The following is a 23,245-nucleotide window of genomic DNA, read 5'->3' as shown; positions in this document are numbered from 1 at the left end:
TCCCTTGCAGCCTGATGTGTCCTTGTGATTACGCTCTGACCAGTGGGCCACCCAGTCTTCTGTTGGCACAGTGGATGGGGGCTGTGTCTTATGAAAGCTATGTCCAAGAGTTCCAAGTGGAGGCCAGTAGTGATGGAAATGGTGGTCCTAAATAGAGCTGCAACCTCTGGGTAACCCTCTTACCCTAAATACATGTTGCTTACCCAAGAGTCAGACTCCTGAGATTTCATCATTGGTAACTGATTTCCTTGGATTACCCATTGTTCCCTTTATTCAGCCTTCTTTTAAAATGCAAATATTCCTGGGTGGATAATAAACATATTGCTACTAAAGCTTTACTATAAACACACTTTCCAGTTCTTTCTTTCTGACAGAAGGGGGCCTGGATTATGCTAAGATCTCTCGAAGGAGGGATGGGGAAGAGCATCTAACCCTGAGTAGGACTGCCATTTGGACAGCGCAGAAGGGACAAATCCTTAATCTTTTCTTTTCCATTACATAGCAAAGGGAATGAAAGTGAGGGGGGTTGGCACTGGGTTTATGTATGTGTGTAAAACATAGGCACGTGGAGCCAGTTATTCACAGAGGTAGAAGCAACTCACTTCTGACTTCAGACATGTTTCAGAAATGGAACAAACCAAATTTTGCTAAGTGGTTTTCTTATTAAAGCAAGTAGACTTGAAGTTTTCAAAACTGCCCTTTCATTCCTATTTCCTGATTGTTTTTACTGGTGGTCTACAAGTTAAGACACATAAAGCCCCTGTTTCTTGCTTACCTGATATTCATAATATAGATCTAGCATAGAAATTCTGGAAATACCCTTCAAATGAAAACAAGATAAATAGGAGTTTGAGAATGTGGTAAGATGAAAGAGATGTATGTTGTGGTGTCAAACAGTAGTACCCAGTAAGTAAATAGACACAAATATTCAATAGCTGGTAGAATTCATAGAAGCCTGCATATTTAACCTTTATTTCTTTATTTTAACACAAGTACTCACTAACTGGTAAAATTCCTGGAAGTCTGCGTATTTAACTTGTATTTCTTTGTCTACTATAATGTTGCCAGTGATCTCAATGATCCTGATCTAAGAGAAGGTTGTTTCCAAAGTGAAGGTATAAGTGAGCCATCCTCTGCCATGTGTCAAGCAAATTAGTCCAAAGTTTTGACTTCTTCTTGGTCCTCTTTATCTGACTCTGATACCACTTTCCTGTTGGTAGTAATATCAGTCAGTTCCAATACACAGAACTCCGCCATTGTGAACATGATGTAGCATGAAAACAACTTTTGAAAATTCTCCCAATAAAAATTCACTGTTGTAGATTCTATGTGTTGGGTTTTGCAACCAAGTATAAACTTGTATGTGAGAGAAGTGGTTATGATATTGTGAAGTGTGGTTTGGAGGTACAGGAGCCCTCCTACCCCAAATATGTTTTGTTTATTCTAGAGTCAGACTCCTGAGATTTCATCATTGGTAATTGATTTCTTTGGTTTACCCATTATTTTATTTATTCAGACTTCTTTTAAAATGCAAATATTCTGGGATGGATAATAAATATATTGCTACTAAAACCTTACTATGAACACATTTTCCGGTTCCTTCTTTCTAACAGAAGGGGACCTGGATTATACTAAGAAGACCTGTTGAAGGAGGAATGGTAAGGGGGAGTCTGTGTATGTAGGGGAGTTATTTTACAATTGTGTCTAATAGAATAGTTTTTAAAGTTTATAAATTAATGTATAGTATGCAAACATCACTTTCTAAATTGGCTAACACTGAATTACATGATATTTTTCAACTAAACTTTTTGTTATAAATATTTTCTGAAGTCCAACATGTAAGCAGTATGCTGGCACTTTGGGTGACCCAATTCCTCATGGAGCTTACAGTATAGTTACAGACAATACAAAAAATATGAGAAAAGTTAAATAATGAAAGCAATAATAAGAGTTAAATAATTATAAAATATGGGCACAGAGTAATGCATGATTAGTTGCCCAAAGAATGTACAAAGAGTAACTAGAGGCCAGGCATGGTGGCTCACGCCTGTAATCCCAGCACTTTGGGAAGCTGAGATGGGTGGATCACGAGCAGGAGTTCAAGACCAGCTTGGCCAAGACGGTGAAACCCTGTATCTACTAAAACTACAAAAATTAGCTGGGCATGGTGGTGGGCGCCTGTAATCCCAGCTACTTGGAAGGCTGAGGCAGGAGAATTGCTTGAACCTGGGTGGCAGAGGTTGCAGTGAGCTGAGATCGCGCCACTGCACTCCAGCCTAGGTGACAGAGCGAGACTCCGTCTCAAAAAAAAAAAGAAGAGTAGCTAGAAGAAGTTAATAGTAGGAAGATAATCACAACAGAATAGAATGAAATTCAAGGCTTCAGGATGTAGGACAAAGTTAGTTTACAAAAGGAATTAAGTAAGCATTTAAATTATTAAGAGAATTATCTGTCCAAGCCGGGAAATGTTTTATTATTAGGTGAGTCAGCATGGGTAGTAGCAGGAATGTTCTGTAAAAATACATGCGGAAATCTAAGGCACCCAGACGTATCTATTGATGCTATTTAAGTAGCAGTCTTCATCCACTATTGGTATCGTTAAGTCACTCTTGATTGGGCTAGTTTTGCTTCATCTGTGGAAGCTAAGTCAAATCGTCTGGCTAAAAAGCGAGAAATTAGGTTGCTGAGCATTGTGTAGATAATATAGCTAGGTGATTAAATGATCTTTCTATTTTTTTTTCCAGAAGTTTACAAAATTAGAGTAGACATATTCTTTCTTCCTTAAGGGTGTTACTTTGACAGCATTAAAGGCAGTTAGCCTCAATACCAATGAGAGAAAAATCAAAATTCTATCACTTTCTGTTTCTCCCAGAATGTGGTATGAAAATAAATATTTGTCATATTAATGTTGAGTTGGCCACATTGGTTTTTAGTCATAATACAAAAACGGACAGATTTCTTATTAGGGGTGCGTTAGTGATTAACTGTTGCTTACTTATTTCCTTTAAACTCTTCTAGACTGTTAAACTGTTCCTAGTCCTGCTCTAACATTATTCCAGAGATAAGGCTACTCCCTTATCATTGAGAGTTTGCTACATGAACTTAGTTTTAGCAACCTTAGCCCACTCAGAGCTGGTGAGCCACAAACACGTGCTGATTCACTAAAGAAGTGGGCCAGGTGTGGATAGGGGACAGTGGAGTCAGGAGGGCATGATGATGGGTGATTATATAGCCCAGGGTGAGAAGAGAGGGACAGAGAATGTGCACAGAGCTTCAAGGCTGAGCTGCTTTCCATTTTGCACTAACTTATGCTTGCATATTCCACAGACAGACAAGTTCGTACACAGGCTTTAATAGCTGTGCGGAGAAGAAAGTTTATTCAAGGCAAGAAATCTGTAATACACGGGTGGGTTTCTAGAAGATTTAAGGGTAAGTGGCAAAGTAAGAAAAAAGAAATGCTTCCCTACACAGTAAGTTGAAAGGTGAGAGAATATTTTTGACATAGGTAAACTTACTTTGCTTTGTGTTCTTTGGCTTTTGGTTTATACGGAAGGGAAATCAGTTCTTTCTGAAACAAAACAAAATAAAAATCAAAAAGGTAAAATTTTACTTCTTGCACTGATTGGAATTTACTCATTTGAAAAAAAGCTGAGGTAAAATCATCACAGAGTTTATAAAGACTAGCTTCTTAAATCTGGAAACTGTGGGGTCGGTCAGAAATGTTGCACATTAGAGAGTTTGGGGTTTATTCAGGAGTGTTTGTTTTGTGCATCCACAAGTTTACATGATACTATTACTATTTTTATTAGGTTTGTTTCTCTTCATTTAACATTTATTTTTGTATGATCTAGGCAAGCTCAATCATTGTAAACAAATATTAGCACTGAAATAGCCCATGTTAATATCTTACAGCTTTATAATATGTGAACAGTAAACTCCACTGACAATAATACCTCATTTCTTATGCCAGGAGGGCTGCAAACTCTGGAGATAGCTTTGATTGATCAAGGGTTGCCAAATTATCTAATGTCTATACCTTGCCCCACTCTGGTATATCAATGGCTCTGGACTATAGCTAGCTAGATTTAAGGGTTCAATCTATAAAACCTCTGCAAAATTTGCCACAATTCATCCACTCAGATAGATTATCCAAATGCCTCACTATTGGTCTCACCGAGATCCTTTCTTCTCTTTGTTTTCTTAAGAGTTGGAGAATCTCTTCTCTTGTTTTAGCCTGTTTAAAGAAAGAAAAAAGTGGGTGTCTCGATTCAATAATAAAGACTTACGCCTACGAAAGGTAGAATTCTTCCATTTTCATCTTGTATTGGCAGAATTTTAAAATATTTTTTCCTAAGATATATTTATACATTTTTGTTTGTGCCAAAATCCTGTTTTTATTCAAGATAATGCTGCTTTACAAAATGCTTTTGTAAAATATTAAAATGCTGTAAAATTTTATTGTAAAATAATAAAATGCTGCTTTACATAATTGATCCTAAATACAGGGGTTATTTCCGCACCTAATAAAAACTAACTTAAAAAAAAAACTAATATTTATTAAGACCTTACCACATGAGCTATGCTAACAGCTTTATAGACATTATGTCATTATTTTCTTATAATAACTCAGAAGTTTGACACTACTATTACTCCACTGTATAGGTGAGGAAACTGAAGCTTAGTAAGGTTAAATAACTTACCCAAGCTATTAAGTGGCAGAACCGGATTTGATCCTAGCTCCATTTAGCAACAAAGTTCAAGCTATTGACCATCACACTAAATTGCCACTAATGGTGGCAAGAAGCAGGATTAGCAAGCTCAAACAGCATGCCGCTTGCACAGGGCAACAAAGCCTTATTCTTTCGTCTCTCCTATTTCTAGCTTAGATATTGAGACCTGCACATTCTCAGGTAAGTTTTCCTAAGTGCAAAAAACTAACTTAGTGCAGGCATGAAGATTTATCAATATATAAACTATAAAAATAGGCAAATATAGGTTCCATTTTTTTCACAGAATTCATCTATATTAAGTTTTGGAGATAGCCAGGCGGAAAATCACATCTGGTGTATTTGAGAAAAAAAGGAAATCCTGATAATCTAGCATCTAACAAATAAAACTTGTAACTTCAAATGGCCAGATAAAATCACATAAATTCTCTTTAGATCAAGCTGCAAGAAAGAAATAAGAAGTGAGAATAGACACAGATTTGTCATAGCCAGGTGCAGATTCTGTCATCTATCTAAATTTATTGAGTACCTTCCTAGGGCTGCTGTAACAAAGTACCACACACTGCGTGGCTTAAAACAATATTTATTGTCTCACAGTTCGGGAAACTAGAAGTCCGAAATCAAGGTATTGGTAGGGCCCTGCTCCCTCTGAAACCTATAGGGTTTCTTTGCTTCTTTCTAGTTTCTGGTGGTTTGCTGACAAGCTGTGGCATTCCTTGGTTTGCGTAACCCCAATCTTTGCCTTTGTTGTCACATGGCATTCTCTCTGTGTGTCTGTCTTCACGTGGCAATTGTCTTAGGAGGACTCCAATCAGACTGGATTAGGTGCACAACCTACTCCACTATGGCCTCATCTTAACTAATTTCATCTGCAAAGACCCTGTTTCCAAATAAGGTCACATTCTGAGGTACTGCTGGTTAGAACGTCAATGTAATTTTTGCATGTGGGGGGGCGTATTTCAACCCATAATAAGCGCCTATGATGTAACATTATGTGTTAGTGGCTGAACATAACACAGTTTCTGCCTGTAAGGTGACTGCAGACTTATGTAGCAGAAGACAATAGTTTCAAGTGTGCTATGTGGGGTTAATATAGGGTACGATGAACGAACTGAAGATCAAGGACCCTTAATTAAGACAAAGGTGTGTGTGTGGAGTAGGGGTGGGGACTCAGAAGATGTCCCAGGGGAGGTGATGTCCATGCTTTAGACCTGAAAGTGGTAGTTGTCAGATAATGTTGGAGACAAGATGGGGAAGAAAGCTTTTAAGGCAGAGGAAACAGCGTGTGCAAAGCCCCAGAAGCTGCTGGGTGGCTAAGTACTTCTCAGGGTGGTTCCCCAGTCCTGATGGCTCATCTGCTAAAGAAGCTAGAAACCTCAGGCATGATTCATCAAGACACACAGAGAAGGGGCCCACGCTGGGCAGCTGTAATCAGTGTCTTGGCTGGTGAACTGGGTGCCTTGGCTTTGCATCGTTCTGTTTAAGTGGTATGAATCTTGCCTTTTATAAGCCTACAAAGTTTTAATTTTATTTATTTTGAGATAGGATTTCTACGTTTTACTTGAGCTTTAGGCATCATATATCACAGTTACTGAAAGAAAATAATTCAGAGTACATTTGAAAACTGTTTCACAATATCTGTCAACTTGCATAGATTGAATAAAATAATGTCCTTAAAGACCTGGGATATTTTCAATGCAGGTATTCAATGTTAGTTTCTTTTCCAACTTTTCCATTACACATGTATTCAATCAGTATTAATTGCTCTCATACTGTGATTACATAGCACTTTATACCTTTATTATGGTATTGATCTTACTGTTCCTGCTTTGTCTCTTAGTTGCCACCATGTCTCTTTCAGAACCTTACTCATCTCTTTATCCTTCCTTAGAGCTTAGCAGTGCTTTGTATGTGATACTCAATGGATTTTTGTTGAATTGAATTGAATTGATTGAGTCATGATGTATGAATGCAATCATTGTACTGTGTAATCCACAGTTATTGGCCTAAGCAAAAAACAAAAAGTTTTGGAAAATGAAATTAAACAGTGGGTAAATTTAGTTTTAAAAATCCCCTATGAACAAAATTATATGAATTTTTCTGTGTAACTATTGGGAAATCATGGACCAGTTATATTGTCCTGTGCTTCTCATATAAAAAGACAAATATTTAGTTACAAGATTCAAAAATAATAGTAGAATAACAAATATATTCATTCATTTTTTTCCTTGACTTCAAGTTATTTTTTATTATAAAGGACTTTGGTGCCTTTAAATATCACATATCACATAATGCACTAGAAACAAATATTTCAAATATGATCTGATTTCTGCCTCCTGGACATGTTTCCTGGAAATAAATAACAAAACTAGTGTAAACAATTGTGTCATCTAAACAAAAACATTGTGGAATATTCTAGGAAATCTCTGCCAGGAAAGCTAAATACAATTCACTGGTAAGAGAAGATCCTTATAACTTATATTATTAGTAAGGAAGCATAACTTACTTCTTAATTTCATATTAACAAAAAATTTTCATTTCTAATTATAGTGTTTTGGTTGGGCTTATTAATGGAATTTTATAAGACTTTATAATTATTCAATTAACTGTTAATACAAGGGGGTCAGAATTTATCTTTATAACATCTTTGACCATTGACTAGTGACTTATATTTATATTTTTATTTATGATTTATATTTATACTATTCCTGAAAAAATAAATTGTGAAAGAAAACTGATTCCAGAAAATTAGGATGTGATATAACATATACATTTAATGTGTTATAGATGGTTAATGAATTTTAATGTCACCTCAAGAGTTAAATTGTCTGGTTCTCTCTTTTTGGCTTTTCAGAGCCAAATGACTTGAGTGGCAATATGTATTAGTAGAGTCAAATACATTTGGTTTGAATCCCAGTTCCGCTGTGTGTTGAATGGCAAGTTCTAGCTTAACTCTCCCGCCTGGTTCCTCCTTTCCCCACCACAACTATGCAGTAATCACTGACATGTAAGTTAGAGCTTCGTGATCTTAGGTAAACCAAAGAATCCACAATCCCAGTTGTGGATTTCTAATCTGTGAGGAAGGTTGTTGTGAAAATTGGAGATAAAAATTACTTAATGAAATGCATGACAGATGGTGAACATTTAATAAATGGTAGTTATTATAACACTATTATTATTAGAAAATTTTTCTTTCAGTGCTTTTAAAATCTTGAAAAGAGTAAGAAAAAAGAGGACAGATTGTCTGCTTTTTGTCTACAGGCATGAAGGAATTCTTACGATTCAACCTCTGACCTATGGGTCAGTTGGTGAATACAGTTTGAGGGAGGAAAGGAGAAACAAGGAGAGATGTTAAAGATATGATTTGTTATTAAATATGCAGTGCAAATTCTTCTGACCACGAATTTTCTGGTGTGTTATCAACTTTCTTTTCAGTTAATATTCAATTATAAAAAAAGCTCTTAATAAACACTAGACTTTAGAAGAAAGGTCCTTTCTTCTCAAGACCTGGTTCCCATATACAAACTGCATTTCTTTCGTGGATTATGATTGAAATTTTTGGACTGAAACATTCATCAAAAATAACACGAGGGGCCGGGTGCGGTGGCTCATGCCTGTAATCTCAGCATTTGGGAGGCTGAGGCAAGAGGATCATGAGGTCAGGAGTTCGAGACCATCCTGGCCAATATGGTGAAACCCCGTCTCTGCTAAAAATACAAAAATTAGCTGGGTGTGGTGGTGCACGCCTGCAGTCCCAGCAACTCGGGAGGCTGAGGCAGGAGAATCGCTTGAACCCAGGAGGCGGAGGTTGCAGTGAGCCGAGATTGCACCACTGCACTCCAGCCTGGCGACAGAGTGAGACTCTGTCTTAAAAAAAAAGAAAAAGATTAAGAGAAAATAATATGAGTCTCATTTTAACACTATGAGCAAGCCAATCTTCTGTCTTTTAATCAGGATGTGGATACTTGAGTGATCATGCCTTTAGTAATCTAGTCATCATCCTTTGAGAGTTACCCTTTTAGTCAAAGCATTTCCATTTAATGCTAATGCTTATTTTGAACCTGCTAAAATTTTATTTTTCAATCATGGGTTTGGAAAAAAAAGGAAGAGGGGGAAGCAGAGAAGATAAAAACAAACTTTCACTGAGTAACTGCTAGATATCAGGCCTTGTGTGAGTTCCTTATAGGTTATCTCATTTTATCTTTATAGCACAGTGAAGTGGGCATTATTATTATTACCTCTTTACAGGTAGAAGAAACTAAACCACGTAAAAATGAACAACTTTTATCAGGGTCACTTAACTAACTAGTAACTGGCAGAGCCAAAGATTTAAACTCATTTCCAGTTCTGTTGGATGTCATTTCCTGTGCTTCTTTTGCCACACTTCAAACACACAGACTTCAAACACACACAGACTTCAGACACATGCACACACACACACACAGAGTGACAGAATGGTTTCTTCATTCAATCTTTACTCTAAAAATGAGTTAGCATCAACCATGCTGAAGAAGAAAAATATAGTCTCTGCTCTCACAGAAACATTCTTATTCTTGTAGAAAACGCATGCTTATCAGAATACAGCAGGTGGAGCTAATCCAGCTTGAGCTCAGCCTTGATCATAGTTAATTTACTTATTTGAAGGTATCATGTGGCTCTTTGCAAGATGTGGCTAAAGGGTAAAGATAGTTGAATTATAGTGGTATTTATAAACTGAGGAGCTTTCTAAGATCGTAGTGTAAATGAAATATTTATGCAAGGATTTTAAATTATAAATTAATTGTAAAATGGGAATTACATTCCAAATTCAGAATATTACCTAGGCAGAGCCAAGGTTCTATGGTTTAACAGAAATTGAGAACATTATCTGATTTTTATTTCCTTGAGCCTCCAGAATTTAATTTTCTTTTTTTTGAGACAGGGTCTTGCTCTCCACTCAGGTGGAAGTGCAGTGGCACCATCAGGGCTCACTGCCACCTCCACCTCCTGCCCCCTGGGCTCAAGCAATCCTCCCACCTCAGCCTCCCAAGTAGTTGGGACCACAGGCACATGCCACCACGCTTAGTTAATTAAAAAACGATTTTTTTTTTTTTGGTAGAGATGAGGTCTCCCTGTGTTGCCTAGGCTAGTCTTGAACTCCTGGGCTCAAGCCAGTCTCCCACTTTGGTCAGCCTCCTGAAGTGCTGGGATTGCAGGCATGAGCCACCATACCTAGCCTTAATTTTTAATTCTATCCCAGTGATTGAGAGTTAACTGTCTATAGGTGTACTAGGGAATTTCAGTTCACATTCTGCAAGAATCTCACTCCTCAGTGGGTTCCATTTCATTTTTATGTTACAAATGCAATCATTAGGAAGGTGAGAATTATGATTGACTTAAGGTTTTTATTGATTTATCATTTTAAAACATCTCATATTTGGGCCTGGTTTCAAAAAGCAGTATGCATCTTGGCTTGCTGATTTTGATAACAGAATGCTTCAACTATGAATTTACTCTATGAATTTACTACCATTCCCTGTGCCTATTAACTGAAATCTGCTATGTTGATTCTACAACTACCATATAGGAAATTTATATCTACTCTAATAATAAGATACAGAACTGTTGGACCTCAAATTATCTACTATGCACTTTAAAAGACAGGCTGAATAATCAGTGAGAAGGCTTTCCCCAGTATAATCTGATTTTAAAAGATAGACCTAACTATAGTAATCTATGGGAGTGGATCGAAGATGTTACAGGATTATTAATCAGAGAAAGGAAGAATGCTGACTTGCAGGAAAAAGATGCAGATCTAAGCACCTTTCTATACCTCCTGGAAATTGCTTGATCTTGGCTCAACTCCTAGGTCTGACATATACACTTTTCATTTGAAAAATAACAACTTACTAAAATGAGAAAAAAAATTAGTCATTATATAAGAGGGAGTCAATACAATTTTTCTTAAATGCAGATTTCAATCAAGTATGAATTTATCTGTTGTGAGGAAGAAAAAAATGTGTATTTTCTTGGTTCTGTTACATATATTTTCTTAGATCTGTTACATATATTTTACCAATAATAATTGCCTGAAGAACGTACATGCATGCACACACAAAATGCATGCAGAGCAGAAGTACAAGTGATTTAAAAAACTGCTTTAATATTGCTTTAAAAGGCACTTATTTTAAAAAAGTAATAAGTGAGATTTGTATTTTAATATTGAGAAAATATGAGCATAAAATGAGCACTGCATTTTAAAATTCAACAAAGTATACATATATTGAGGGTAACTCTATATGATTGAATTATATGTTATTGATGATTCAGTTTGCAATAATTATCAAAGCTTTTCCTTAGCAAAGACTACTGAGTCTTGAAGATTTTCATTGTTGCTGGTTATATGAGCTATGATGAGTGGGTGAATGATACTGACCTCATCTTTCAGATATGTCTTTCCTGTTCTGCCCATAATGACTTAAGAAGGAGAGGTTAGGGATTCCCCACACAGATGACCTCAAACTTCATCTCTGGCTCATACTTCTTCTTTGAGTTTCTAGCCCATATATTCACAGGCCTATCTGACAGTTCACCTGCTTTTCTCAAAAGCATCTCAAACTAGGTAAGTCTAAACTAAACTTGTAGCCCCTCCCCCACAAAACCCCCCAAACCTGATCTTCATCTAATGTTTCCTGTTTCAGAGAATGACACTACCCATCCTGTTAGGCAAGCGGCCAGAAAACTGAGTTATCTTTGATACTTTGCTGTACCTCACCTCCCATATCCAGTATATAACCCTAAATACTAGTTATTTTACTTCCTAACTATCCCTTCAATCTATCTGGTCTTTCTCATCTACCTGCATGATCCTAATTCACATCGCATCACCTCCTGACTGAAGTTTTGTGATGGCCTCCAGTCTGGTTTTTCCACTTCTGCTCTGGCCACTTTCAATACATTCTCCATATTACAGTCTGCTGATCTTTCTCAAGCAAATGTGATATTCTCATTCCCCAATTTAAACCCTTCAGTAGCTTCTTACTGTTCTTACTGGAGCCTAACCTTCCTCCCATATTACCACATTGGCCATTGAGCTTTTGACATGTGCGGTGCCTGTTCCCAGAAGAGGGTCTTTGCACATGCTGTTTTCGCTGCCTGGAATGCTCTTCCAATGTTCCCTCCACCACCTCCTTCTGACCTAGTTAATGCCCGCTCTTCCTTCAAATCTCAGTCTGGTTAATCTTTGTAGAAATCCTCCCTGATTCCCTTGATTGGATCAATACCACCCTATTAAGTTATCCTAACATCACTGTAATTCTTTCAGAAATATTTATCTCCCTGATTAGACTCCAAATTTCATATAAGGGCAGAGTTCGTGTCTTTGACCCATTTCCCATTTGCCCCAAGAACACTGTGCTGGCAGTGAGCTGCACTTCTTTTTTCTAAATGGGAAATAGGTTAAAACATGTTTTGTTGTCATTGTCCATCATTGTATGCCAGTTCCTAGCACAATGCCAGGCACATAGAAGTGCTCAATAAATATTTGTTGAATGAATCTTGCACAATTCTTCCAAATAAAATTCTCCCATCTTTTGGGCCCATGATTCATCTTACTGTTTATGGCTTTGCTTGGCCCTTCTTGCCTGAACTTGACATTGCCTTTTCAGTGTTGACCTCTAACTTGCCTAGATTTCTTCTGAAGCCTACAGAGTTTTCAGTTGCTTCTGGCCAACATTCTGTAGAGTTCAGCTTGGCTCCATGATTTCAGTGCAGGGCGCCCACATGTCTGGAGTAAAACCTAAACAATGTCCAATCCAACCTCACACATACAGACTAATGTCTATACTTATACTACCAGCTATTTTATCTATTGGCAGCATTTATGACCAGAAACTCCAGAGAATGCAAAGATAGTATATAAAACATAACCACAGTTAAGAACAATCTTTTATATTTTTAGTTATTCAGTGCTCTAAAGAATGTGTCCTTTATAATGAAAGTTTCAAAGTTTAGATACCCTATCCTAAATAACTTATAGGGTTTTTCTTTTTTAAAAAAACAAATTGCTAAATTACTGTTACAATGAAAATATGCACATTTTCCTGTCCTGTGTGGTGGCTCATGCCTGTAATCCCAGCACTTTGGGAGGCCGAGGTGGGCAAATCGCTTGAGCTCAAGAGTTCAAGACCAGCCTGGGCAACATGGCAAAACCCTGCCTCTACAAAAAATACAAAAAATGTAGCTGGATGTGATGGTGTGCACCTGTAGTCCCAGAAACTTTGGAGGCTGAGGCTGAGGTGGGAGAATCACCTGAATCCGAGAAAGTTGAGGCTGCAGTGAGCCATGATCATGCCACTGCACTTCATTCTGGGTGACAGAGTGAGACCTTGTCTAAAAAAAAAGAAAAGAAAAAGAAAATATGCACATTTTCTTTAAAAAGCTGTTCATCAAAGTTTATATCAACAATAAAATCAACTGTTTGTAAATTGATTTTTGAATATTTTTTTGACCTGGCCAAGAAAGTCAAAATAATCATAGTTAGGTCAATTTGTCTCCTATATTGATGGTTCTAAACTTTCTGGGTTTTCTACATATGGCAGTAAGGAATGACACAAGCATTTAGCAATGTGATTGGAGTTGGGGGAAGGGTATATACTTCTAGGACTTTGCTTTCTTTCCTTCTTTTTTTGGCCAAGCCTCTCTTTGGTACCAAAGTTCTAGTATACGGAATATTATCTTGTCCCCTGTGTCCAATTCCTAGTCTCAATTTCTTGTCTAGCATTCCAGATTCTCTGGGAGAGGGGTTCTGCTTTATTTTCCACTCCTGACCCTACATTCCAATGCCCATGGCAGGGTTTCTCTTACATGCTGTTAAACCTTGGCATAATGTTTTTGAACGTCTATCAAATTTTTCTGGAATCACTTCCTTTGGAGAACATGCAATGCTCTGCTCATCTACTGTGACTTCCTTCTGTGACTACAGAGCAAAATGTACTTCCACTCTTTTCTGTTGCTCCCACATCCTCTTGCTCAACTGACTACATGTCTGTTCAGCACCTATGAGTCTGAGGCCTCTGGGTCTTAATGCTATTCTTGCAAGTTTTCCTATTAAATGAATACTTTATATGACATCTAGCTCAAGGAACTGGGCTATCATGCAGAATTTGGTCCAGACAAGTTAGATAATCCACTTATTCATTCATAACACTTATTTGGTATGTCAGGAGATCACCTATTTGTAAGGCTCTGTGATTATAATGTCAAAAAAGCCATGGTCCTTCACCTTAAGAAACTTGGAAGCTACAGGAGAAACAGAGCAATGACACCACAGTACTGTATTTCAAGGATGATGACAGGGGGATGCCCAGGGTCCTAGAGAATTAAAGAAAGAGGCATTTATATCAGACTAGGAGATATGTGAGGGTGAGAAAAGGCTTGAGTATGACTATTGGACTGTAAACAGCTAAATGTAGTTATTAGCTAAATGGGAAGAAATGAGAGAAAGGCATTTTCAGGCAGAAGAAACTGTAGGTTTAATGTCACAGAACACCTTGGTGGGTTCTTGGAACTACAAGTGGTTCAAAATGGCTGTAATATGAATTGCACTGAAGGGTAATGGTGGGTAGATGAGGCTGGGGAGGTATGGCAGAAGGCAGATAGTGAAAGTCTTGGTATGTTAAACTGTGATTCAACCAGTTTTAGGAGTACAGTTGATTCTCATTGTTTGTCATAGTTATGTTCTAGAATGTCACCGCAAACACTGAATCAGTGAATACTAAACCATTGCTCCTAGGTTCCTGCCAGCCGCTGGTCATAATGCTTCATCAATAGAACAATACATAACCTTGTTTTATGTGTGTTTCTGTTTAAAGACACCTTAAAATATACTGCTGATTTATCAATATGAAACTCATGGTAATAGCACTCTAACTCATGCCTGAATAAAGCTTATCTAATACATATATTTTATCCATAGGGCACATCACAACCTTCTTGCACTTAGGAACATTAGCACTTTAAGGCCGTTTTAAACAGCAAAGTCACCAAAAAAAAAAAAAAAAAAAAAAAGTGAACACTTAGCATGAAATGACAAAAAGACTCTTGTTTGGAGTTATGAGAGTGAAACACAGAGGCAAAACATCATCTTGTTCAATCTCAGCTGTGAACGTGTGTGTTGAACAACTCAATTTTTTTTTGAGACAGTCTCGCTCTTGTTGCCCAGGCTAAATGGCGCGATGTTGGCTCACTGCAACCTCCGCCTCCCAGGCTCAAGCGATTCTCCTATTTTAGCCTCCCGAGTAGCTGGGATTACAGGCATGCACCACCACGCCCAGCTAATTTTGTATTTTTAGTAGAGACGGGGTTTCACCATGTTGGTCAGCCTGGTCTTGAATTCCCGACCTTAGGTGATCTGCCCGCCTTGGCCTGCCCAGCCTCAATTTTTTTTTTTTAACCACTTTCCGCATGTCTGCAAATGAACATGCAAGTGCTACGGATATTGATTTTGGGGTTGTAAATAAACTATAGCTAGTAGGCAAATTTGCACATAAGGAATCCATGAATTATGAGGATCTACTATATTGCCAATACAGTGGCTTGGGAACTGCCCAAGTGGCTTGGGAAGAGTCAACTAGACAAATGACTGTATCGTCAGGCTCTGAGGCTTTCTTGACCACACTTTATGTGACTAGAATACATTATCACAGAAAATGACAAAATGAAGTAAATATAGATACATCACTCATTTATTATCTGGCTCTGATATAATTGCCTAAGAACGTTTTCATCTTGCGTTAGATAGAGGCAAAGTACAAAGGTGGATAATGGCTTTAATTTCAGATGTGCCATGGTTATTCTCTGAGTTACCTGATCCACAGAATCATTCCAGTTCTTCAATAAACCCGATTTGATTTGCCCTGCTGCTTATAAAGTGTTTACTAATTTGAACAATAAGGATTCATGTAACTGGAACCAAATTGATAGTTCTGCATTAATTTTAAAAAGGAAAAATGTACATGATCCTTTTTTGCTTCATTTTGCATCTAATAGTTTCATTTAATTATGTTTTATAAGCAGATAATGAATGTGGATCCTTGCCCAATATTATCTCAGCGTTTAAAGTGTTTTCATTTTGTTCTTAAGGTGAAATGTATAGAAGATATAATACACAGATCTCTGGAAAAAAGAGGAAGAGATGCATTTGGAGAATGTCCCTATGGAACTCTGAGGCTGGGTCTATATGGGACAAATGAATTCAGCATTTTTTTTTTCCTACTCTTTGCAGAGCAGGGCTACCCCGTAGGCAGTGTGCCCAGAGTAGCCAAATTCAGCTATTTGATCCCAAATCTCATTCCTCTCCCAATTATGATTTTACAGACTGTAGATGTTACTAAAGAAGATTTAGAGGGGAACCTCATCTGTCAACTGAAAATGTTCCCCAACATTGAATAACTTTTGAAAACAAAGTGGTACTTATGGATGATATAAAAGCATAAAACATATGTATATTAATATAATCTTTTAATTATCATTTGCTATCAAAATATTTGCTTGTTACTATAAATGCACAGTCTGTTTTTATGACTCTTCCACTTGAATGCTTTGACAAATTAGGAAGAGAAGAACAAGAATTTAAATGACTAAACAACTTTTATTGGTGAAGGGGAAATCCACCACTTCCTATTGGTATTCCTTTTATGGAGGAAAGGAATTTCATAAATATCATATTAGGGTGGGAAAGCAAAATTAAAAGCCAGGTAACACTTACTGGGAAATTTTAGGTTTGTCTCGGAAGCCAATCCCTATCATTTTGACACAAAAGAGGATTTTCTTTTATCTGAGCATCTTGGCAATGACACTGAGGAAATTCCCTACATTTTTGCTTTGGTTCTCTGAAGTTGACTTATAATGATTCAAAGTATCCCTTTCACTACTTTGAAAGTGATAATCCAACAGTTGATAATGTTAAAAAGTTTTCCACTTTCATGACTCAGTGTCTAAAAATACAACCTTTTGAAGTTCTAAGGTTTTTTTTTCTTCTGAGAATACAGACCGCATTTCAATACAAGTAGGTATTAGCTAAATGGGAAGAAATGGGAGAAAGGCATTTCCAGGCAGAAGAAACTGTAGGTTCAATGTCACAGAAAAATGAAACACCTTGTTGGGTTCTTGGAACCACAAGTGGTTCAAAATGGCTGCAGCATGAATTTCATTTAAAGGGCAATGTTGGTAGATGGGGTTCCAAGACCCTCAATGGTTGCCTGCAACTGCGGATGCTACCGAATCCTAGATATACTGTGTTTTCCCTTATATATACTACCTATGATAAAGTTTAATTTGTAAATTAGAGACAGTAAGAGATTAACAATAACTAATAATGAAATAGAGCACATAACAATATACTGTAATAAAAGTTATGTGAATGCGATCTCTCTCTCGGCTACTAAGTCACTAACAGGCATGTAGTGTCTACAGCATGGATCCACTGGACTGAGGGATGATTCATATCCCAAGTGGGATGGCACAAGATTTCATCACACTCTTGGAATGGCAAGCAATTTAAAACTTGTGAATTATTTATTTCAAGAATTTTTTATTTAATATTTTTGAATCATGGTTGACTGCAGGTAGCTGAAACCAAGGAAAGTGAAATCATGGAAGGAGGACTACTGTAATGTTCTCATTGTAGCATGACTTGCTTCTGGTTCAAGGAAGTGCCATATAACAAACTTTTGAGGAAGACTTATACTATGGACATTACTGGTTGCATAGAATGTGTAATAGAACAGATTAAAAACCCATACCCAAATAAGGAGCATACCTGGGATATTGTTCTGCAGATTGCATATTTTCCCTGTAAAAACCTTTGATTTATATTCATTCATGTTAAAACTTTGAATACAGATCATTTCCAAATCTGTCATTTACATATATGCCTTCAAATACTGCTCTGACCTCTTCTTCCTTCTCCCAGCAAATGAATTATTTATAATTCTTTTCATAAAGGGATAATCAGCTGAAGAGCTTTCTTAAAGGCGGCAAAACTAAAAAGCAAATTAGTTTTATGATTTCAAAGAATTAGCTGACTATCCACTTATTATAATATTTTCAGACTACTTTAGGACTCTCAAAGGAGGAATGATGGTCCAGTGTAGGGCTGTGAGGTTTCCTTTATGGACAGAGCAAGCCATTTAATCTTGACAGGCTCAATTGTTTTTGATTTCCTGCCATGGATATCCATCACAGAAATAGCAATTGTGATTAACAGCATTTTGATCACTAACCAAAAGCATTTGTTATAATGTATACCTGGAAAATATTCCAAAATGGAGAATAATATTCAAGTGCAAAAAACTGTAACAACTGAAAAATCAATATCCGTTGAGGAGAGTTAAAAAGGTGCTTTCAGAGAGAAATTAATTTTTAGATTTTCATTAATTTTAAGGAGAAAGTGGAAGAATAAACCTTAAAGAGAATTTATGGGTAATGTTTTTTCCAATTTAAGATGAAAATTATACCTGGAATTTACTTATCAATGTATATGTTCAAAACATGTAGAAGATTCTCTTAAATAGATCATTGTAAATGCTTCGTTAGTTAAAAAGATACCCTCCCCTCATCTATTTTCTAACATCAAGCTAAAAATTCTAGAATGGTGGTGGCAGCAATGCAGAGACAACATTATCGATTTAGGAAAAAAAGTGGTATCCAAAACCAGATTCTGTTTCAATAATTACAGGGAGTTACGTTTCCTCCCATTATATCCATAACCCATGAGATAAAGCAGAACTAGGGAGAGGTGATGTGCTAACAGATTAGATTTTGGGAGTATTCTAGTAAAGATTATCAGCCTAGAAAAATTTGCCAGATGAGTCTATGTGGAAAAGCTAAACAAAATTGAAATATCAATATATAGGGCCTTCATTTACTCTTTAATTCATTTAATTATGCATTTATTTATTCAATAAACAAAGATTTACTGAGTTTAATAACCAAAAAGGCACTAGGTTAAGCAAATAAAACATGACCCCTGCCTTTATAGAGTGAATTTGTTGAGGGTAAACTGTGGCCAGGCACTTCACATACCTTACATCACTCTATGAGGAGGATATTAAAAAAAATCATTTCTCTTTTTATATATGAGGAAGCTGAGCATCCCAGGAGTTAAACCACTTGCTCAAGGTCACACAAATAGTAAGTGGCAGAGTTAGGCTTCCAAACCCATCTTGTTGTCTCCAAAATCTACTACACTATGGTGCCTGTAATCTAGCAGGAAAGAGAGAAACATACACAATTACCTACAATACACATCAGAGACTGTACAAATACTATGAGAAAGGATATGTGGCTTGCCGTGGGAGCACAGAGAAGAGATCTATTCATTCTGCTAGTCTCTGGGTAACCCCTGAGAAGGCTTCACAGAAGCTGGCATTTGAGTTAGGCCTTGAAGGTAAATGGGGAAGAGCATTTCAGGCAGATACATGAAAGTGCACTGCAGAATGGAGAACCAGCTTATAGTTCCAGAGCTGGAAATAGTGCTTCTCACATTTGTATTCATACCATAGTTTTGAATTTTAGAATATTTGGCAGCATACTTGAACAATGCCATAGTCAGCAATCATTATGATACAACAAATCTATTATGGGATTAATTTCATGGACTTTGGAGTTAGGATTGCAGGCTTTGAATCTGCTCTGCCACTTACCAGTTGTGGGGACTTTGGAAAATCATTTTAGGCCTTGTTTGGCCAAATGGTGATAATCATAATGGGCTATTTTAAGGAGTATATGAGTTGATGTATGTCAATTGCTTAGTTTAGTGTACAGTACCTAATATACATTCAATAATTGGTTGTTATGAACACTAAATTATGTTATCTCACTATATCTATAAGACAATTCAGTTATTTCAGGATTCTTTTGGTTGCCCTTTTGTATTTTGGCATTGTTCAAATTGAATTGTACTAGATAGTGCTAAGTTTCCCCATATACTAAGAAGGCACAGTTTCAGTAACTTCTCTTTCTTTCCCACTGCCTTACTGTTTTGTTAGGCCTCTTGTCTTCTACTGTCAACAAATGGAATCATCTTCTATATTGCAGTGCAGGACCACTAGGCTTAATGAACAACTTGGCAGATACTATGCATGTTTAGGTATAACAAAAATATACTTTTCCTGTTCATCACTTTGCAAGCATATATGTGAAGGTGTAAATAGTGTTCCTTGGCCTGCATGGTTGAGATCCAACTATACAGAGTTGGGGAGAGAGCATAGGAGAAAGCGGGGAGAGTGATAGGAGAAGACAGGTTAGGACTGGATTGGAAAGGAATTCAAACATGCTAAGGAGTTTGGCCTTGATCTTGTAAAGGAAATGGGCAGCCATGGGGAAAAAAAAAGCAGGAGGGCTAGTATAATCATATTTGGATTTTAGGAAGACAACTAATACATTGTGAGGGATTGCTTTGCATATTCTTTGTCTAACAAACTATAAATCCTTTAAAACCCAGCACCTTTGGGAAGCTTTCTTGATTTGTTACACTTGATTTTGATGTCCCTCAATGTGTTCTCATAGTATTATGTGCATATATCTATCATGATATTATAATATATAATAATTATTGACTTTAATTGGCTGTCTCCTCCACTGGATTGTAAACTCCTTGAGATAAGGGATCACATCTTATCTTTGGATCCCCAGCAGCTAGTATAGTACTTGCAGGTTCTCAATAAATATCTGTGGAATTTAGTAATTAAGATGAGTTCATAGAAGGAGCCAAGACAAGGAATCCAGTTCTAAGATTATTAGCCTAACAGTCTATCAGCATAACCTCCACTGGTAATTCACATCATATTGTCTTATTGTTTGACAAAAGCTGATAGAAATTTATAATAGTTTGTCTTTAACCTTTTATTTCTAATCCTTTCCTAAAATGAAATAAAATGAAAATTAAATTCCGAAAGCACTGAAGTTGACTTTTAATGATTTTTAATTCACTGAAAATTAGGCTTTCCCCCTCCCTAAAAAGTCTGGATATAAATATACAGTACATAATATTCTAAAGAGAGAATAAAATGCTGGCTATTTCTAATTACCTAATTTGTTTGAGGGAAGCACCAGTAGTCCACAAAGTGAATTAATGTGATAAACAAACTCAAATGCATTGTTTTGTAATTTATGTAGAATTCCCGATAAGTCTGTCAGAGTTTGCCAATATGTCCAATGATTAAAGATATTCAGCCAAAATGAATCCTCTATTTTTGCTTTTACAGTATAGGAACAGTTACAGGAGTATAATTTATACATTAATCAAACTAAATGTTTCTATAAATCACTGTATTAATTGCTGAGTTAAAGGCCATGCCTGTATCATGAAAAGCAAACAAAGGATGTTGCCAGAAAGAGAACTGTGCTCAGCTGATTTGACTACACCAATGTGTTTAATTCCAGCCTTTAGTCAAAACAGGTCTAGATGACAGACTCATTCCTCTGATCATTTAATTTTGACCTATTAAGACAATTAATTCTATTTGATTTTTCCTGTTCTTATGATTTTTTTTTAAGACTGTGTCTCACTCTGCTGCCCAGGCTGAAGTGCAGTGGTGAGATCATAGCTCATTGCAGCCTTGAATTTCTGGACTCAGAGGATCCTTCTGCCTCAGCCTCCCAAGTAGCTCAGACTACAGGTATGCACCAGCAGGCCTGGCAAATTAAAAATTTTTTTTTTTTTTGTAGAGTTAGAGGTCTTACTATGTAGCCCAGGCTGGTCTTGAATTCCTGGCCTCAAGGGATCCTCCTGCCTAGGTCTCCCAAAGCATTGGGATTGTAGGTGTGTACTACTGCACCTGGCCTCTTATGCTATTTCTGTTCTTAGAACACTGTATATGGTTGGGGACCTTACTGGATGGAAAGTGTGTGACTCTACCTCTTTCTATTTCTCTCTGGTTCTGTTGTTCCTATACATTCTTGGACTTTTGCTGAGATTGATAATAGCCAATGTTGAATAGAATTTTTAAATTTTCAATTAAAATTCTAATAAAGGTTTCCTTAATTTGCTCAAGCTGATGCACTAGAAGTAGCAGATTTTTAAATATACATGTGTTTAAAAAATCAAGATTATTTAGAAATTTAATGATGATCAGATGACCTTCTGAAATATTGGCCTACCTTTTGGAGATACTTTACTTTCTCCTCAGATTCCTGTATCTTTAGGGCTTCGGCAAAGATGTCTCTATTTTCTAGAGGGAATAAAGTCAAATTCAATCTGAAATAATTTTATTATGATTTTATACTAAAATTGATATAAAATTGGACATGGGTTGAAAGGGAATACATAGAGTAGGAAGGTAAACAAAAATACATGTGGTGTATTGGAACTTTACAAACCAGATTTGCAAACAACTGGAGACTGAGTTAATTAGCTATGGCTGCAGGGAACCTCTAATCTCTTTAGATGATGAGTAAGCTCGAGTCCAGAGACAAGAAAAAGTCTCGAAAGAGAGCATATCTGCAGGATCAGAGATTCCAATTTCTACATTCCTGTTCAAACTGTTAAAGGAATTTAGGCATTGTCCTCTGGATAAACAGGGTGGTCCCTGAGCAGGGACTTAGGTGTTCAATTCAGAAAGTTATACCACAGTGTAAAGTAGTACCCTTGTACTTATTGTCTATTTTCTGATGAACCTAGGAGTCAGAATGTTGAAAGGCATAAAACTTGGTACTTACTGTTACTCGCAAGGTGAAAAGACTGCGAGGAGTGGCTGTTTTCTAAAAAATACAAAAGGGAAGTAAAGAAATCATTGGAAAAGTCAACAACATTAAAGGCGTTTGAATTTTTTATACTATAACAATTGCATAACAGTTTCCACATCCTAGGCCTCACTAAGGGCTCACAGGTCCAGGAAGTTCATTGGTAATGTTGACTCCACCTTCATCTTTCTCCAGGGCTTTTCATGTTTGAATTAAACTATGTAAACTATCCTTTCAGCCAACACATAGCATTTCCTCAGATTATTCTATACTGTTTACCAAATAGATGCCATAATTTAAGGGAAACTTATATGTTTTTAGATGTAACATATATACCACTGATCCTTTTCGGGTGGAAGGGTTGCTGGAAGGGTTCAGGAAATATTTATACATGCATTTGTATGTACTTATAACTATTTGTATATACCATTGCAGTTTCTCCTGGAAAGGGCTCTGGTACCTGCAGGCCAGTTACGGTGAGGCAGATATGACTGACAGGAGGCCGCTATTCTACTCACCAGACCCTCTGCTCCTCCTGGGCCGCGCCACCGGCAGACGCTGACTGCTGTCTCTGCGCAGCACCAGCTGAGATTCGCTAGGGGGATACATCGACGCCGAGATCCAGAACTGCTTAGCCAAGTTGGCATCTTGTTCCGAGGAGCCAGCAAATACCAGTAATCCCGGGGGGCACATTTCCTGGGACTCTTTTCGGCCGCTAGGTTCTTCGCTGGGTCCCGTTTCCATGGCAACTGAGGACGCTTCTGCAAGCGTCCTCTCCCCTCCCCCCGCCCCGC

At 37.2% G+C, this 23,245-nt stretch overlaps 1 protein-coding gene across 2 annotated transcripts; it reads right to left on the bottom strand.

The window, feature by feature from the left end:
* Nucleotides 1–936: 936 nt before the first annotated feature.
* HOATZ (HOATZ cilia and flagella associated protein) lies at nucleotides 937–23,202 on the bottom strand. Of its 2 annotated transcripts, NM_207430.2 has the most exons (7): nucleotides 22,970–23,195; nucleotides 22,428–22,469; nucleotides 21,870–21,940; nucleotides 13,017–13,097; nucleotides 4,175–4,234; nucleotides 3,516–3,568; nucleotides 949–1,210 (listed from the first exon to the last, which is right to left on the bottom strand). In NM_207430.2, exons 1-7 carry the CDS (start codon nucleotides 23,193–23,195, stop codon nucleotides 1,153–1,155), a joined length of 591 nt encoding a protein of 196 aa, NP_997313.2. In that variant the 3' UTR covers nucleotides 949–1,152. The 2 variants fall into 2 exon arrangements, with proteins under 2 accessions (NP_001093858.1, NP_997313.2); NM_001100388.2 differs by lacking the exon at nucleotides 13,017–13,097 and having other exon boundaries at nucleotides 937–1,210; nucleotides 22,970–23,202.
* Nucleotides 23,203–23,245: the final 43 nt, after the last annotated feature.

The sequence above is a fragment of the Homo sapiens genome, chromosome 11, assembly GCF_000001405.40.
Source record: "Homo sapiens chromosome 11, GRCh38.p14 Primary Assembly".
NCBI lineage: Eukaryota > Metazoa > Chordata > Mammalia > Primates > Hominidae > Homo > Homo sapiens.
The sequence above is the reverse complement of the archived record's forward strand: the minus strand, read 5'-3'. Positions and strand labels throughout refer to the sequence as shown.